The sequence below is a fragment of the Homo sapiens genome, chromosome 5 (genome assembly GCF_000001405.40).
Source record: "Homo sapiens chromosome 5, GRCh38.p14 Primary Assembly".
NCBI lineage: Eukaryota > Metazoa > Chordata > Mammalia > Primates > Hominidae > Homo > Homo sapiens.
The window spans coordinates 16,574,880-16,594,247 of NC_000005.10; the positions used below are offsets into that span (position 1 = coordinate 16,574,880).

The 19,368-nt window shown below is 42.9% G+C and overlaps 1 protein-coding gene across 2 annotated transcripts in view, besides 1 other annotated feature; it reads right to left on the reverse strand.

Moving 5' to 3' along the window:
• Positions 1 to 19,368, reverse strand: part of RETREG1 (reticulophagy regulator 1) — a 143,945-nt gene that overhangs the window by 101,827 nt on the left and 22,750 nt on the right. The window lies entirely within an intron of this gene.
• Positions 244 to 808: an enhancer, noted in NCBI's record as "OCT4-NANOG hESC enhancer chr5:16575232-16575796 (GRCh37/hg19 assembly coordinates)". NCBI's record gives its function as "activates a minimal SCP1, AML or CMV promoter by ChIP-STARR-seq in primed H9 embryonic stem cells {active_cell/tissue: H9 hESC(primed)}" and the evidence as "EXISTENCE:reporter gene assay evidence [ECO:0000049][PMID:30033119]".

Below are 19,368 nucleotides of genomic sequence, written 5' to 3' on the forward strand. Positions count from 1 at the left end.
TCTTTAGCAACAATCATTTGTTCCTCCACTAAATTTGTCCCTCCCCTAAGGAGCCACCACTTGCTCTATTTTTGTAGCTCTTGTTTGTTTTAAGCAAGGTTGCATTCTGGTGTTTGCTTGGTTTGGGGCCAGCCTCCTCACTCTCAATTCAGGATTCATTCTTGCTCTTGTTCATGTGCTGGGTGCTCCCAGTTTTCCCGACCTCACGTTGAAGTGGCAGATTTCATAGTGACCCACAATAAGAAACTCATTTATATTTACATACATATAAATGAAAAACAAGTTTTGAAAAATATTTTCCTTACAATTCATAATGCAGTTCAACTTTTTCCATTCAATTCTATTACGCGTTTAAATGCTGACTGTGAATCACTCGCCTGACTCAGGGCCCACTAATGAGCTGTAATGCGCAGCTCGGCTCACATGGCATGAGACAGAACCTGCAAATGTTCGAACAGCATGCTTCCTTAGAATGGCTTTCTTTGCAGGGTCAGGCAAAGCCCTAGCACAGACAGAAAGCTCCCTCAAGTTTAAAAGTCTTTGGAGCTGGCCAGGAAGCCATTTAAGCATCTTTTCAAAACCAATGAAATGCAAAACCAACCAAAGCACAAAGGCCATTAGTTATTCTCTTAGTGGAAGTTACAAACTTCCAAGAATAATAAAAAAGAAAATTAGGTAATGCCAGGACTGCAACCCACAGGCCTGGCTGCCAGACTTCATTTGGAAGGCATTGCCACAGCAACTCCAAAGAGCACTCGGGATGTCTGTCTATTCTGTCCTGGGCAAGGGCCCAGTTGGCATATTGGCCAAGGTCTTGTTGGTCATCGAGAATCCTCGGTCCACTGAGAAGACAAGCCCAGCAATTGCTTAGCAAGGTAATGCCAAACTGTATGGGACTACATATTTGATTCTTTGGTGGGTTAGTGTCATATAAACATGTTTGAGAAACGAAACCCTAAGAGAATAATCTGTATTTAGAAAAATCTGAGCACTTTTGGTACTTTAATTATTTATAATGTTTAAGATGATTTGTCTCAGGGCTCCACTTCAAAATATGTAGCTGAGTAATTTAGACTTGTGATTGGAAATTTAAAATCTTACAAACATGAGTTTATTCTTTAGTTTATTCATTTTTCAAGTAGTACCTAATATTTGGGAGGGTTTGTGTTATTAGATGAAGGAATTTTTAAAAAGTTTTTGTTTTGGTAAACTTCAAACGTACACAAAAAGAGAGGCCAGAGTGTAATAAACCCGGTTTCAACAATTCTCCATTCATGGGTAATCTTGTTTCTTCCATATTCCCACCCACTAAGCTCATCCTTCCCCCGAAATTATTTGAAGCAAATCCCAAACATCATGTAATTTAATCTGCAAATACTGCCATTTATCTTCAAAAACAAGATTTTTTCTTTTTCTTTTTTTTTTTTTTTTTGAGATGGAGTCTTGCTCTGTCGCCAGGCTGGAGGGCAGTGGCGCAATCTTGGCTCAGTGCAACCTCCACCTCCTGGGTTCAAGCAATTCTCCTGCCTCAGCCTCCTGAGTAGCTGAGACTACAGGTGCACGCCACCATGCCCAGCTAGTTTTTGTATCTTTATTTTTTATTTATTTATTTTTTTATTTTTTGAGACGGAGTTTCGCTCTTGTTGCCCAGGCTGGAGTGCAATGGCACGATCTCGGCTCACCGCAACCTCCGCCTCCCAGGTTCAAGCAATTCCCCTGCCTCAGCCTCCCGAGTAGCTGGGATTACAGGCATGTACCAACACGCCCGGCTAATTTTGTATTTTTAGTAGAGACGGGGTCTCTCCATGTTGAGGCTGGTCTCGAACTCCTGACCTCAGGTGATCCACCTGCCTCGGCCTCCCGAAGTGCTAGGATTACAGGCACGAGCCACCGCGCCCGGCCAATGTTTGTATCTTTAGTAGAGATGGGGTTTCACCATGTTGGCCAGGATGGTCTCGATCTCTTAACCTTGTGATCCCCCCGCCTCCACCTCCCAAAGTCCTGGGATTATAGGCAGGAGCCACCGCGCCTGGCCAAAAACAAGATATTTTTAACCAAATAACAATACCACCATCACATCTAAAAAATTACTTTAATTCTTAATGTCATCGAATATCCCATCAAGGTTCATATTTCCCCACTCATTTTTGTGTGCACGCACACACACACACACACACACAGACTGAAACAGGATCTGAGAAAGTCATCTGCTGAAATTGGCAGATGTGGATTTTAAGTGTCCTGGACCCTTATAGGTCCCTTGCTGTCAGGTTCATTTCTCCAATAAAGTTTTCCAGCTTCTGGGAATCGTTTGTTGTATCCTTGTGATTTGGTTTAACATTTTCCTTGATCTTTTGTGTAGCCTATAAGTTGGCACGTGGATCTAGAGGCTTGATAAGACTTAGGTTTGTTTTTTTTTTTTTTCCCTCTAAAACCCAAAGATAGGTGGTAGTGCCTGTTTCCATCAAGAGACACGCAGACTGTCTGGATGTCTTGGTGGCTACACTTGCACTATTGGCAGCCACAGACAATCCCTGTCTAGTGGCTGATTCCTCAGAGGCTACAAGGGGTGACGGCCCTTCACTCCTGCTTCGAGTAATAGCTGGATCACAGTTATAACGAGAAACTTCCCCTCATCAATGTCCAATTACACTGAGAGGTGGAGCTCGTCGGAAAGGCAGCATCAGTTCTTGAGTTCTTCCCTTTATTTTACCGGTTTTTTCAAGATAGTGAAGCAGTTCCCTAGTGTCCTCTAAAGGTAACTGATATGGTTTGGCTGTGTCCCCACCCAGATCTCATCTTGAATTGTAGCTCTCCTAATTCTCATGTGTTGTGGGAGGGACCCAATGGGAGACAATTGAATCACAGGGGCGGTTTCTCCCATACTGTTCTCGTGGGAGTGAGTAAGTCTCACGAGATCTGATGGTTTTGTCAGGGGAAACCCCTTTTGCTTAGCTCTCATTCTCTCTTGCCTGCCACGATGTAAGACGTGTCTTTCACCTTCCACCATGATTGTGAGGCCTCCTCAGCCACGTGGAACTGTGAGTCCATGAAGCCTCTTTTTCTTTATAAATTACCGAGTGTCGAGTATGTCTTTATCAGCAGCGTGAAAACAGACTCATACGTTTTCTTATTCCTTTTTTTCCTGTTATTATGAACTCAAGAGTTTGAACATATTTGACGTGTTTCAGTCACTGCAGAGTTATCCTTACTGATGCTCCAGCTACCCCGTCTTATTCAGGTCGCCTCTCAGGTCTTTGGCACAACCTTAGTTATTCTGATAATAAAGTACTTCAAAGGGATATAGAAAATATAACATTTACAAATGCAGTTTAAAATGTTCAAAGGAATATAACTCAACTTTCTAACAAAACTAATCACTTAATAAAGCAATCATTTATTATTTAATGAAACAGTCAGACTCTCTTGAACACGGTTACAATTTGCTAGATTTATAAACAAAATAATGTTTTGTTAGCTAAAATGGAAAGCTCAAAGAAAAATGAGTTTTAAGTTTGTAATTTTATAAAATCAAAATTTTTCTTTAAAAAGTAATTGAACAAAATTGTTTCTAACCGATCTTTACATGGAAACTGGCCTGTAAGGACATCAAAAAACAATCCCCATCTGCTGGGCGTGGGCGATCCTGACACTGGCACGCTGTGGCATCACTCAGAGAAGGACTGTCACAGAATCACAGAGCTGGAAGGAGCTCAGAGGTCATCTGATTTACTTTCATCTGATCCACAAATCCCCTCAGCTGCAATCAACCACCTCTACTTAAATAGATCTCATGCCAGGAAGCTCAACATTTCTTGCAGCATTCAATTTCCGGCAGCATCCTATTATTACTGGGGGAGGCAGGGAATTCTGTTTTCATTCCATTCACAGCATCTGTCACACACTGGGCTAGCTGCTGGGAAAACACTGGTGACTAAATCCCAGCCTTCCCCCTGCAAAGCCAGGAAAGCAGACAGGTAAACAACTGTGTTTAACCAAAGTGCTATTCAGGATGCTGTGGGGGCAGAAAACAGAGCCAGTAACTACATAAAGCAGCCAGAGAAAGCTCTAGAGAAGGTGGCATCTAAACTTTGACTTCGAAAGACATCTGATTTGGCCAGGTAGAAAAGAGACCAATGCATTCCAGGCTGGGGAACAGGGTACCCAAAGGGAACCGCAAGAGAGCCACAAGACTAGAGCCTGAATTAGAGAGGTTACCCTTAACCTTTGTCTCCTCCACTCTGAGGCACAAGTTATGAATTCCAGAACCAAATGCAGGATAAATAGCACAGCTGATTTTCAGTGAGCACAGGACTGTTCTAAGAGCTTTATATGGAGTCACTCATTGAATCCTGTATCCCTTCAGGAAGGGATCGTCATTAAACCTATTTTACAGAAGAGCAAAGAGGCTCAGAAACTTGCTCAAGGCCCCAAGACAAAGGAGACGCAGGACCAGGACATGAATCCAGGCAGCCTGGCTCTAAGCCAGCTCTTGCCATTCTGCTAAACGGCTGCTGGACACAAGTGTCTGCCTCTTAATCTGCCTGCTCCCACATGAAAAGAGCTGGAAGGACTGGCACCAATTTACAGCCTTTTCTTTTTTTATATATTTTAGAGCAGTTTTTAGAGCATTCTATGGGTTTTGACAAATGCATAATGACATATATCCACCATTATAGTATCATACAGAATAGTTTTCTGGCCGTAAAAGTCCCCTGTCCTCCATCTATTCATCCCTGTCTCGCCCAAGCTCTTGGCAACCACTGATCTTTTGACTGTCTCCATAGTTTTGCCTTTTCCAGAATGTTCTGTAGTTGTGATCACACAGTATGTGGCTTTTTCCTACTGGTTTCTTTCATTTAGCAAAATGCATTGAAGCTTCCTCTGAGTGTTTTTGTGGCGTGATAGTACATTCATTTTGATCACTGAATAATATTCCATTATAAGATATACTAAAATTTATCCATTCACCTTTTGAAGGACACCTTGGTTGCTTCCAATTTTTGGCAATTATGAATAAAGCTGCTATAAACATCCACGTGCAGGATTTTGTATGGACATAAGTTTTCAACTCATTTTGGCATGGCTTTTTAAAAAAATTTTAACAGTTCCATCAGCATGCTGGCTGAAGTTGAATTCACAGGCAGTTAAAATCCCCAAGGGTTCTATTTTTCAGATACCATTTTTGAATCTAAATATGTCCTATGCAGTTTGTTCTTGTTTGACACGTCCTACATTCAAACCTATGGACTTTAGTGGTGACATCAATCACATCTGTTCTCTTGTCCAGCTTCAGGACACCATGCATGTTCTATCTGGACGTCATCAGTCCTCATCCACACTACTGATCAAAGCTATTGATCGGTACTGGAGTCCTGTCACTCCCTATTAGCAGAGTGACCTAGATTACTAGTCAGCAGACAATCCAGTCTGCCACTATGTGCTTGCCCATATCATTCCATCTTATCCACAAAGACAGAATTAGCTTTTCTGAAACACCTTGCTGACGCCTCCAGCATTCTGAAGGGCTAAGTGTCTATAAGTGCAGATTTGCTTGACTGCTGCTGAAAATTACTTTAAAGTATGTAATAGTTCTCTGTAGAAGAACTAAATACCATCAGACTCTGCCAAAAACATCATGGGGTGCAGCCTGAGCCAAAGCCCCAGGGTTACCTTGCTGATCTGCCCATTCACAGAGTCCACAGAAACGTGTGGTAACCATGGAGGAATTCCGAAGGGAAAATAGCCACACACAGGCTGTCAGAGGGCTCTGGAAAGCTGCAGAATAATTATCATGAGGGGGAGTGTGGTCAAAGTACAGGCTGCCCAGAAGACCATGAGGGCAGGGCGATCGAGTACAGACTTGGAAGAGGGAGGTCTGTGCATGTGCGCCATCCTCACTAGAGGGTTGCCTTAATTTTCAAAGCCCAGGATAAGTGAAAATGCAGAGACCTCACCTGGGCTAAGGAAGTCAATAACCCCCTTCCCAGACAAATGGGGCATCCCCAAGATATTGCAACTTCCACTCCAGGGCATGTTCAGGACCTGGATCCAGGACAGGTGAGAGGCCCGTGCCTAGTCACCCGCTGAATGCACCACATTGCTGCCAGCCTAGGTGATGACAGTCACCACCTGCCTGGCAGCTGCAGGGCACACAGCCCCTCATGTTCAGGCCTTCTCAAGGGGTTGACAGCCACAGTGGAACACAAGCCTCCCTGTTGATGCAACTGACCACTGCCCTGGGCAATCACACAGGGTGAGATTGGAAGGGAGAGGCTGGGCAGGGCCAGGGCAAGAAGTGGGTGGTCAAGAACCCTTTCTCGGGAATGGGGAGATGGAGAGGGAGGCCAGTCGGAGGCAGGACTGCACGTGAGCTGAGGCTCCAATCCCCTGTGCATGCTCCACTGCCCCATCACACTTCACTTACAAAACACAAATTCAAAGAACACAGTGATAAGAATCACAAGATGACAACCACAGAGCATTCATCCCCAAGTGACGGCCTTCCCCAGGCCCTGTGTGGCTGTCTAGGTCACTCTCCCATGTAGCCAGCCCCATCCTCACTGGATCTTCCAGGTAAGATCCCCATCACAGTGACCAATAAAGGCTTTTTTATCCTTAAAATACTTTTTAAGTTCAGAAACACAACACACACACACACACACACACACACACACACACACACAAAACACACACACAGGACCACTGGCCCTTGTCTTTATCCGAATTAGCCCAGGCACTTGTGACCACATCAATGGATCCTAGAACCCAAGTGATTAGAAGCAATATTTCCACCAATCCCTAAGTCTCCAGCCATCACAAACATCTCTCTATAGATTGATGGCCTTTTTATAACCAATTAAAAGAAAAAAAACGATACATTTTTAAATTAAAATACCATTTATTTAGTGAGAGTTACATGTTCTTTTAGCTGAATAGAATACAACCTTTTAAAATATTTTATTTTATTTTATTTAAAGTTCCAGGGTACCTGTGCAGGATGTGCAGGTTTGTTACATAGGTAAACATGTGCCATGGTGGTTTGCTGCACTTATCAACCCATCACCTAGGTATTAAGTCCAGCATGCATTAGCTATTTTTTGAATAGGATACAACTTTTATCTGAAAAGCGTATTTCAAACTTTGGAAACTAAAGCAAACATTATATATGACCATTAAAATATACATATACATATCATGATAGGTAAACATTATATATGACAATTCTATGCTATACATAAATACATAAAGTCTATGTGTATAATAAATACCCCATTTGTCATAGAAAGACATACTGTGTGGTTTAGCTACGATTGGAAAGGTACAGTTCTCTAAATCACCATATGCACGTTCTTTTAGCAAGTTAGGGCCTATTTCTATATAGTAATGTGATGATTGCTCTAAAAAAGAAACCACATCACCCAGGTGACTCATGTTTGGCTTGTGATGACCACGGCCTATATTCGATAAATGTGTCTATTTGCTTTTTTTCTTACTATTTTTTATTTCTCCTATTTTTTTTTTCTATTCCATTCCCAGATTCAGTAACATTATTTTGAATTTTAATCTGGTTTTCAAGTAACCAACTGCCTTATCCCACTTGGTATTGACGGGATAGTTTATGGGACTGGTCTCTATTCAGATATCTGGGTCAGGGAAGAATTAAGATCCCTTCCTTATGCTCAGAGACAAAGGAGAGTGTCAGGGCAGCAGGTAAAGATGCAGAGAAAGTTTCGAAACTGTCAGGGGAAACCCTCTGCTCATGGTTAAAAAATAAAATAAGAAAAAAAAAAAAACGGCCTGGGTAATCCCCGGCTTATTTCCATATCAGAACACACCATGATTTTAAGAGGAACATTTTCCTATCAAATTCCAGGCTTTGACGAATATCAAAATTAGTCTGCACTGGCCGCTCAGAAGCCCCGAGAGTGAGGGCACTCGTTCCACAAAGATGCCCATCAGGGAAAATGACGGGCTGTCAAAATAATTTACTCTTGGGTAAGCCAGCATCTTCCCTCTCTCTACATGGATCACTCGGACCCCTGCCATTTGGCCCTTCCTTGTGCCTCTTTGTGCCTTTATTGATTCTTGAGCATTCCATACCCACATGGAGCTCTAGGTGCGGCTGCTCTGGGCAGACATCTGTGCCTGCTCAGGCTCAGCAATGCAGGAGGTCACAGCAAAGCAGCCAGGCCAGCCAGAGAGCAGGGACAGGTGCTGGGCTATGTGGACAATTTACACGATGAAAAATAAAGTGAAGGTACTCGAGTGACCTTCTGTTGACCTGCACTCAGTGGCTAACTACAAAAAATATTTTTTGTCTGAGCACAGTGGCTCACAGCTGTAATCCCAGCACTTTGGGAGGCTGAGGCAGGCGGATCACTTGAGCCCAGGAGTTCAATCAAGACCAGCCTGGGCAACAATGGTAACACCCCATCTCTACCAAAAATACAAAAAAAAAAAAGTATCAGGGCGTGGTGGCATGCACCTGTAGTCCCAGATACTAAGGAGGCAGAGGTGGGAGAATCGCCTGAACCCTGGAGCTGGACGTTGCAGTGAGTGAAGATCACGCCAGTGCACTCCAGCCTGGACGATGGAGCGAGACTCTGTCTCAATATATATATTTTACATATATATAATATACATATGTATAATTTTTTGACTAGTCGTGTATCCATTTGACAAGGAAAATTTTCCATTACTCCATGATGAGTTTTGCAAGGCCAAATTAAATGGCTTAATAGGATAAATTTCCTATAAAGCAAAGAAAAATAGTTCATACACACGCAAATCTTGTTTGATAATGGATAAAAAACACAAGACTTAGTTCTTTCCATGTGTAAAAATCTAACCCTCATTTCTGAGTAAAGCACAACCCATTTTGTACTATGAAATGAATGCTATCAACAGCTAAAACATATTTTTTTTGTCTTCAAAGAAAGACCATCTATGGATAAAAGCATTGGAACTCTTCAGAGTTCTTATATGGAAATGAATCTGCATTATTTGCTGTAACTCTTAAAATGGAGATCCAAAAATAGGGTTTCACTTTCTTTTACTGAAATATACATAACTGCAGCCATAAGAAGGAATGAAATAATGGCATTCGCAGCAACCTGGATGGAATTGGAGACCATTATTCTAAGTGAAGTAACTCAGGAATGGAAAACCAAACATTGTATGTTTTCACTCATAAGTGGGAGCTAAGCTATGAGGACACGAAGGCATAATAATGACAATGGGCTTCAGAGACTTGGGAGAAAGGGTGGAGGGGGGTGAGGGATAGAAGATTACACATTGGGTAGTGCACACAGCTCCAGTGATGGGTGCACCAAAATCTCAGAAATCACCACTAAAGAATTTATTCAGGTAATCAAATGCCACCTGTTCCCCAAAAATCTATTGAAATTTAAAAAATTAAGATTTTACACAGAAAATCAGAATCACTGAATATGAAATCCAGAAAGGATCTTAACGGTCAAGTAGCAATCCCTCCATTCAATTTAAATGTTCATTAAATATTGAATAAATGATTTTAAAAAATGAAATATATATAACTGTAGACCTAGCCCTAAACTGAGTTCTTAACATCTCCTGGCTTTATTTAATATTATGGTGGCTCTAATTGTGAAAGAAAAAAGGGTCTCGTAAGGCATAATGATTTACCAAACATTATTCAAAGTCCAGATCATCACATTTTGCTGGAAGATAATTATCTTCTCAAGAGTTAGACATACCTGCAGCCATCTATCATAATATCACAAAATTCAGAGTTTCAACTAAAGTTGGCTTTAATTTCTCCTGGCCTTTTATGCAGATTCTGCAAAATTAGTAACTGAAGATGCTGTGTGAAATTAAATTGTGCACTATTAAGGAAAAAAAGCTGCCAAAAAAATAAAGACCCTCTCAATTGTAATATGTATCCCATTTTCAGAGCTGTTTAAAACATGTATGTGTGTTGGCTGGGGGGTACATTTCTTAAACATGAATATATAGTTTTAAATAATTTGGAAAGGACGATCATCCGAAAATGGAGTGAGATAAAGCAATAACAATTTAATTGCAAATCCAGGATTAAATGGAACTCAGAAGCCTTTTTTTTTTCCCTAGGGAAGTACTTCTTTAGTTGTGATGGCCAAGAAAATGAATTATAAGCATCAGAGGAGAGGAAAAGAGGGTGGTAGGTAATAGACTCCTTTCTCTAAAGAGATGAGAAATTCTGGAAGATATCAATCACAGGGAAATGGTGGGTAGTAACAATCAGAGTCTGCTGCAGTGGAGGAGGGGAATAACCTTACTCTAGGAGAAGCACATCACGATAATCCAGTGAATTCAGGGAATGTGCCCAGGTCAGCAAGGCATGGTGGACAAACAGATAAGACAGTGGGGAGGAGCAGCAGGGAGTTTGTATTCTGTTTGCGTTCTTGTGCCTAAAGAGTAGGAGAAACCAAGGGCATGGCTAGGATGGAACCAAGGCCATCTGAGGTCAAGGCAAAGAGAAACTGAGCATGCTCTACTGTGCACCCTTGCACTGGAATTATGAGAAAAGCCATGGGTAAATCAAGTCAGGGGCACCCTAGGGCAGTGCAATGTGCTCCTTAGCTCCACCTAGTGTATAAATTGAATACCTGCCCACTCCTATTCCACCTTCTACCTGACCTGGTCACAGCAGGGAAGGGGACTTCGAGGCAGGGCGGGTGAGTCAAGTTCTGCAGCCCACTCCAGCTGAGCTAGGTACTAGGCCATTCTTGCATTGCCCTAAAGAAATACCTGAGACTGGGTAATTTATAAAGAAAAGAGATTTAACTGGCTCTTGGTTCTGCAGGCTGTACAGGAAGCATGGGGTCAGCATCTGCTCGGCTTCTCATGAGGCCTCAGAAAGCTTATGATCATGGTGAAAGGTGAAGGGGAAGCAGGCATCTCATATGGTGGGAGCAGTGGCAAGAGGGAGTGTGGGGAGGGGGTGCCACATATTTAAACTACCAGATCTTGAAGAGAACTTACTATCTTGAGAACAGCACCAAGCTATGAGAGATCCACCCCCATCACCCAAACACCTCCCACCACACCCCACCTCCAACACTGGGGATCACATTGCAGCCTGAGATCTGGGCAGCAATAAATATCCAAACTATATCAGCTAGCCATAAGTTAAATACTAACTACCAGATTCAGTCATAGAAAGGAGCTATAAGAAAAATGAATAACAGATCAAAGTCATACACTGCAATGTCGTGCAGGATGGTAAGAGGGAAGAAAGAAAGAAACGGTGTGGCAGGAGGTACGGAGAAGAAAGAAGAAATAAACTCATGAAGGTCAGGAAGCCATGGTAATGGGCAGCTGGGTTTTTATGCAAATGGAAATCTTTGTGTCTTTTATCTTTTATGCAAATGGCATCTTTGTGTCTGCCCAGTGGGAACTTACAATATGAATGTGGGATCCTAATCACAGCTAGGTGGAAGGTCTAGCATGGCCAGTGAGAAACACCTCCATATCCTCTGCCTCGGTATTTTCATCTTTAAATTAAGGCACTGGCTAGATAAGCCCTTCCTAAAACTGCCTCATCATCATCAGAATTACTTGGGGCATTTTTTTTACTTCGACTGGTCACAAGCATTTTTAGAAATTGCAGATTCCTGGGTCCCACTCTGGACTGGGTGGGTCAGAGCTCCAAGGAGAGGTACAGGAACCTACATGCTAACAGTCAGATTTGCAAACCACTGGACTGCGAAGGTGTCTCAGGGCCTTTCCCATTCAAATATTATCTGATTCTATAAACTCTAGTTCTAGAGAATGCGGTGTAACAGATCCAAATATTAAACTGAGCTTTGGGGCCTCTTCCTTCACACATAAACACATGCACATACTGGTGTCTTAATCCATTCCAGCTGCTGTAACAAAATACCACAGGCAGGGTGGCTTATAAACAACAGAAATCTATTTCTCATAGTTCTGGTGGCTGGGAAGTCCAACACTAAGGCCTTAGCAGATTCAGTGTCTGGTGAGGACCTGCTTTCTGATTCAGAGATGGCAACTTCTCATTGTGTTCTCACGTGGTAGAAGGGGCAAAAGATCTCTCTGGGGTCTCTTTTAAAGGGCACTAATCCCATTCATGAGGGCTCCATCCTCCGGACCTAATCAGCTCCCAAAGGCTTCCTCTCATCACATTGGTGATGGGGTTTCAACATAAGAATGCGGGGACAAAAGGAGACACTCAGTCCTTTGCAACTGGGAATAAGGCATAGTGATAGGTGCTGAAAAGGCTTCTGAGAAGAAGAGCTCTTGGGTGAGTGATGGGGAGAGAAGCAAGACACACAGTAATGAATTCAAGGAACCGTCCTAGGCATGCCCACTACAGAAAAAAAGTTGATGTGTAATCAAAGCCCACCTTAGCTGGGTATTTTCACATCTCCATCGCATGTAATGTTCCTAAACAACATGATGAATTTAGATACATGGAAATTATATATCCATAAATAGATTAGGTTGGAGCAATTTGTCCAAATCATGGAGTCAGAATATAAACTTGGGTCTTCTTGACTCAGAGTCCACCGCTCCATTTAAACATCATTTGTAGAGTTCCCTGGCATCCTGCTTTAATAAACCAATCTCAATGTACCAGACTGTTCCAGAGAGCAGAGTTGAAAAGTAATTGTCATGTGGACGTCTATCTTTCAAATCCTCATTCAGTTGTGGTCACCCACTCATCAGTTCATGTCTACAGTCTGTTCAAGAACCCATTCCAATATACCTGACCCTGTCCAGGGTCCCAAAAAGAAATTCAGATATTCCACAGTTCTGAGATTGATGGCATTGCCACAGCTGTAGAAGATGATTTTGCTTCTCCAACTCCAACCAAGGATGCAAAGAACTAGACTCTGGCCACATGCATCCATGTGGCACCCACTCTTACCTTGGGTGTGCTCAATTGTTCTGCCTGGTTCTCCCGCAGCAAGCCTGATCCTTCTCATTCCCCTCTTTGCCGGAAGCCCTGCCAGAGGTCTGCTTACCCAGCTCCAGCCAATCCCTTTCCAGGTGAATGAATCTTGATCACACCCTAATAACCCACTGTTCAAGATCACAGACACATACAGTGGACTGTTCCTTGCCAAGTTCCTGGGCTCCACAGTAAGATTTCATGTGTCCAGACCCCCCTCCCCACTGCTCCCAGTCTGAGGCCAGAGCGATCACTTCCAGAGCTGGGACTGAGGCTTTTACATCTCTTGGGCCAACTGTATTACTTTGCAAGAACAAAACACTACAGACAGGGTGGCTTAAACTACAGAAGTTTATTTTCTCACAATTTGTGTGAAGGCTGGAAGTCTAAGATCAAGCTGTCTGCAGGTTTGGTTTTTCCTGAGGCCTCTCTTCTTGGCTTGCAGATGGCTGCCTTCTCACTGCATTCTCATAGGGTCTTTCCTCTTTGCATACATATCCCTGGTGTCTGCCTCTCATAAGGACACCAGTCATATTGAATCAGGGCCCACCCATGTGACCTCATGTAACCTTGACTACCTTTAAAGGTCCTATCCCCAAATATAATCACCTTTTCAGGTGTGCTGAGGGTCAGGACTTCAGCATTTGAATTTGGGGGCAGCACGATTCAGCCCATAACACCAAGTGTGTGGACCACTCACCTGCCGGCCCCAAGGTCACTCCTGTGTCAAAGTTAACAAGCCGTGTGCTGTGCCCTGTCAGCCCCACCATGCTGAGGACATATCCACATCCTCCCAAACTCCCTGCCAGAAAGGCAAACATTCACTCATGCTGCTACACTCAGTAAACAAAGTGAGATCAAGGCTGAAATATCTGAACGAGCTGTAAGAAACTATGCAGATTAGAGCCAACAGGTTATTTAAGATCAGAGAGGCCACAGTATCCTGGTATATACCGTGTCCTGGCCTACTTAGGTTAGGACAATAAATTATATGCTCACCCTACTTACTAAGCTCTAAATGAACACAGGACACAGAGAAGCAACCGTCTAATTTGTTTCAAAATCCTCAAATACAAAATCTACTGAGCAGTGAATTAGTAATTTTGTCATCCTCTGGGGGCCACTTATCTGAAGGTCAGGATCAAGTGCCCTTTATCAATAGAGTGAAGCTGCTCTGCCCAGCAAAGCTGACCCGGGTCACTCCGTGCATGCACACAGTACCGCTGGGCTGTGCCAGCAGCCTCCTTACACAGACATTCCTTTAGTATCTAGAGCCCCACATCCAGTAGTTGTGCCTAGAAAACACCACCCCCTTTGCTTATTCAACAACAAAATGTTCAAGAAACCATAGAAAATCCAGACCTGGATGCGGACTGTTGTCCCAGTTTATTTGGATACATTCAAGGGGCAAAACAGTGTTGACACTCTTGGGGATTATAATCCCACTGGGTGCGGCAACCCTGACCACACAGGGAGAAAGATGTTTTCAAAACTTGAGTGTTTTTTTTTTTTTCAAAAAGGAGTTTGTAGTGTATCCAATGCATGTCTTTCTTTTTTGTTTGTTTATTTGTTTGTCTGTTTTCAGACAGAGTCTCTGTCACCCAGCCTGAAGCAGTGGTGCCATCTCGGCTCACTGCAACCTCCACCTCCCGGGTTCAAGTGATTCTCCTGCCTCAGCCTCCTGAGTAGGTGGCATGTGCCACCACACCCAGTTAACTTTTATATTTTTAGTAGAGACGGGGCTTCACCATGTTGGTCAAACTGGTCTCAAACTCCTGACCTCAAGTGATCCGCCTGCCTCGGCCTCCCAAAGTGTTGGGATTACAGGTGTGAGCCACTGCACCCAGGCCCAATGCAAGTCTTCTTTTCTACCTGCCAGCATGGAAGGGGAGAACCATGGCCGTCAATTCCAGTGCATGAGGAATTGCTGCAACTCCCCGCTACTCTGTGGCCAAGCCTGAGACAGTAAAAAGCAGTGACAAATATTTGGGCACCAATACTAAGTATCAGGAAAGTCCACTCTGGCCCTGAAGCCAATGGCCACCTTCCAGTTGAACTTTGATGAGCAGGGCCACCTCAAGGCCAGAGACTGTATTGTGTCATCCCAGGTAGGAAAACACTCCGATTCTCTCCTATGGGTCAAAGTAAAAGAAGAAACAAACAACTAAGAGTGGAAGAGGATGTCCATGCTCATGTCCAAGTGCACAAGCATGAGAGAGAACTGGCAGCTGCCTCATGGACGCCATTCCTCTAAGTTCCCTAGATCCTATTTCCAGAACATTCTAAACTGAGAATGAACCTCAGATGAGAATGAATGTTTTTTGACAGCTTTCAATTCTTCAGGTTCCCCCAACCCCAGCTGCTGATCCTGGGACCTCCAGGATCCCTCAGGAGTATTTGAGGGTCAGGGCAAGACAAGCCCCTCACACTCACAGGTCATGGTGCCCACACCGATGGAGACCACACACCTTGACACACGACAGCAGCGCCTGCGGTAACAAAAAAGCCCAGAGGCTACGCACCTGTACGGCCAGGTTTCCTGGAATTCACAGAACCTGCACCTCGAAGGACAAGCTGCAGGTCAGGCTTCCTTCAAGGTTCTTTTATGTGAAGTAATATTTTAATGTCCTGTTTTACACTTTGATTTTTAAAAGAATCTTCAGCAAATAGCACAAACAAGTAGTAATATAAAACTTAATGAAATATCTTAGAAATGAAAAAATTATGATTCTGAAAAAGAACCCCTAGCCTAAGTGAAACTCGGGGCGTGTGTGCTGCAGAATCCACATGGGCCACGGACTCGAGGCGGGCTGTCTCCCAGGGCCTCGTTGTTATTTTGTGAAGTGATGGCATTACCCAATTTTTACAAATAAGAAAACTAAAGCTAAGAAAGAGTAAGTCATTGGACTGGGTTCACCCAGCTAGAAGCTCACCTCTTCCCAGAAACCCCTACTCCCCGGTGGGTACACACACACAAACACACACAAAAAAACACACAGACATGCAAACACACACATGCAAACACACATGCACACACAAAAAACACACACATGCAAACATACACACACACGCACACACACATGCACAAACACAAAAAAACACACACATGCAAATATACCCACACACGCACATGCAAACACACATGCACACACACACATATTTGCTTGCCTCCATAGCACTTATTTCTATTACACCTCAGTCCAAAAACCAATTGAGAGAACTTAAATATCTATCATAGCACAGAATAAATATAAAAAACTAAGGAATTGGGGCAAAGGGAAAATAAACCGAGGAAAAGGAGATGACTTAGGCTGAAGTTTAGCCCAAAAGAATTCAAGCCATAGTTGAGATGCAGGAAGACAGCCACAAATCTGGTTCTGAGATGACCTCTTTAGGGTTAAGAACTTGATACTTCATCATTAGTGAAACCCTTTTGTAACTCAATAGGAGAAGAATACAAACTAACACAGTGAAACGTTCCATATCTTCTTAATATGGAAAGAATCAATCACTAAAACATAACAAGCCTATAAAATAAGCAAATGCCACAGGTAACCACCCCATGCTGACTCTGAGAGCCCGAGAGCCAGAATGAGGACTTGAACAGCAGTACCACCCTGATTTGTTAAAAGTGAGTCGCTGGGGATGTTTGTTTTTAATGCTTTTCCCTGTTTGTCAAAAAGGAGCTATAACAGGAGGAACAAAAGAAAAGGTGATGAGAAGTGTTACCACCCCCTCCCACGCCATTTACCAATTCACATGGCTTTGCTAGAAAGTGCTCCCTTTACCCAGCAGGTCCGCAGATCTCTGCTCCCTTTGTGTGCACACATGAGCAGTACACAGGGGTGCAAACAACCCTAACAACTTTCTCTAATTAAACAAGGGGGACGAAGCCCTCCCTTAGCACAGGCCCTAACCAAGTCCAACGGAAAACATCTGTCTCTCCTGATAATTCCACCTGTGACTTCCAGCGCCATATTTACTCTCCAAACAAGAAAGACAAAGCCCATGAAAAACAATGCAGGGAACAAGAATAAAAGAATAGATAATAAGGGAAGGTGGCAGCTCCTCAGCAAGCTCTCCAAAGGAGTGCCACAGCGTCTGTGTTTGTAACATTTGACATGAAACAGCAACAAGAAAAGAAAATGCCTCACTTCAACCACATGACACCAGTTCATAATCAGCACTGTGAATCTGGACTAGAATAGAGTCTACAACACAATCCTAAGCTTATATTTCAATCAGATGAGAAGTGAATACAGAGGTAAAATAATAACAAAGAAATGCCCTCGGTCGAGCCAGTCTTTTAAAAATAATCCCAATCAATTCAACTACATCAGAACTTCAAGTCCACTGTACCAAAAAAGAATGAACTATTTTGATAAATAAAAATGTGGCTTCTTCCCATCAAAAAGTGGGCAAAAGATAAGAACAGACACTTTTCAAAAGAAGGCATACATGCAGTCAAGAAGCGTATGAAAAAAAGCTCAGTATTACTGATCATGAGAGAAAGGCAAATCAAAACCACCATGAGATATCATCTTACACCAGTCAAAATGGCTATTACAAAAAAGTCAAAAATAACAGATGCTGGCACGATCGCAGAGAAAAGGGAACACTTGCATGCTGTTGGTGGGAGTGTAAATTAGTTCAACCACTGTGGAAAGCAGTATGGCAGTTCCTCAAAGAGCTAAATACAGTACTACCATTAACCCAGCAATCTCATTACTGAATACATACCAAAAGGAATATAAATCATTCTATCATAAAGGTGCATGCACGAGTGAGTCCACTGCAGCAGCACTCACAATAGCAAAGACACAGAATCAACCTAAATGCTCATCGATAGACTGGATAAAGAAAATGTGGTACATATACGCCCTAGGATACTATGCAGCCATAAAAAAAAAAATCATGTCCGGTATGGGAACATGGATGGAGCTAGAGGCCATTATCCTTGGCAAACTAACGCAGGAACAGAAAACCAAATAACACATGTTCTCACTTATAAGTGGGAGCTAAACAATGAAAACACATGGACACAAAGAGGGGAACAACAGACACTGGGCCTATTGGAGGGTGGAGGGTGGGAGGAAAGAGAAGAGCAGAAAAAATAACTATTGGGTACTAGGCTCAGTACCTGGGTGATGAAATAATCTGTACAACAAAGCCCAAACTTTGATATGAGTTCACCTATATAACACACTTGAACTTAAAAGTTTTTCAAAAAAAAAGAAAAGGAAAATGTGGATTCTTTGACAAAAGGCGTTTGCTTCCTAAAGCTCGGCAAAGGCACAACAGTGAACCCCTGACTCACCATCCCATGCCCAGTGGTCACACTCAGCAAGGAAAACTCCACCCAGTCTCCTTAGCAGCCTGCTGTTAAATTAGGTCACCCCACTGCTCCCCCGGAGTGATGTGTTTTCCTTTCAGAGCACGCCTTCTGACTCCCACTTGTATGCTGGTTTGCTTGGCCATTTGTTTCCCATCTGTCTGTCCTTCCCTACCCCATACTACAAGCTCTGTGAGAGAAGGGACCATCTCTCCTGTTCACCACTGTCACCCAAGCACTAGGTCTCTGCATGCCAATCACAGGCACTCAATAAATACTTTTTTGTTTGCTGTTGCTCATTCAGTATTTGTTGTACAAATGATTCAATTAATGTAATTAATTAACCATGCATGTAATCAATGTAATCATTAATCATAAATTCCTTAAAGCACATTATCATAATAATGACAGCTTGCCAAATTGGGGGAAAAAAAAAACTATGGGGAACATTAAAATGTCTATACCATTTTTATTAAAGACCCTTTGGGAAGCATCAGATAACATGAATGGCCCTTGGATATCTGCTTAGACAAATCTTATTTCTTCTCTTTCAGAAGACCTGGCCTCTGATAACCAAGAGAAGTAAATCTAGCTCTCCTAATTTGCCCCATACTAAAGTCATGTTGCAATGGTGTGGCTGAGGTCAAAGAGAATGGTGCTCTGCTGACTCATGTGTCCCTATCACCAGAGGAGCTGCAGCAGATGCACCTCCGTCAAATCTAAGCAGCCATGTTTACTGTGAAAGCCACACCAAATCCGAATACAACGAATGTCTGGCCTTCTTTCTAGACACCTGGTAGTTCCAACAAAAAGCCAAAGATCATCACTGACATTCTGGGGATGGTAGCCCATGATTGGTTCTTTGGCCAACACCCACTGTTTTTCAATGTCACAGGCCCACAGCAAAATGTATTAGATCACAGTCTCACAATCTTAAGATACAACTTGTCTGTACCAGGCAAAACCTACACACAGCAGAGATTTGATGGGCACCATCGGAAACAAAAGCTGGCATGTACACAGAATTAAACTTCTCAGTCATACAGTGCATCGATGTACAAGGGTGCTGAACCTTTTGGCTGTATTCAGTGATACGATT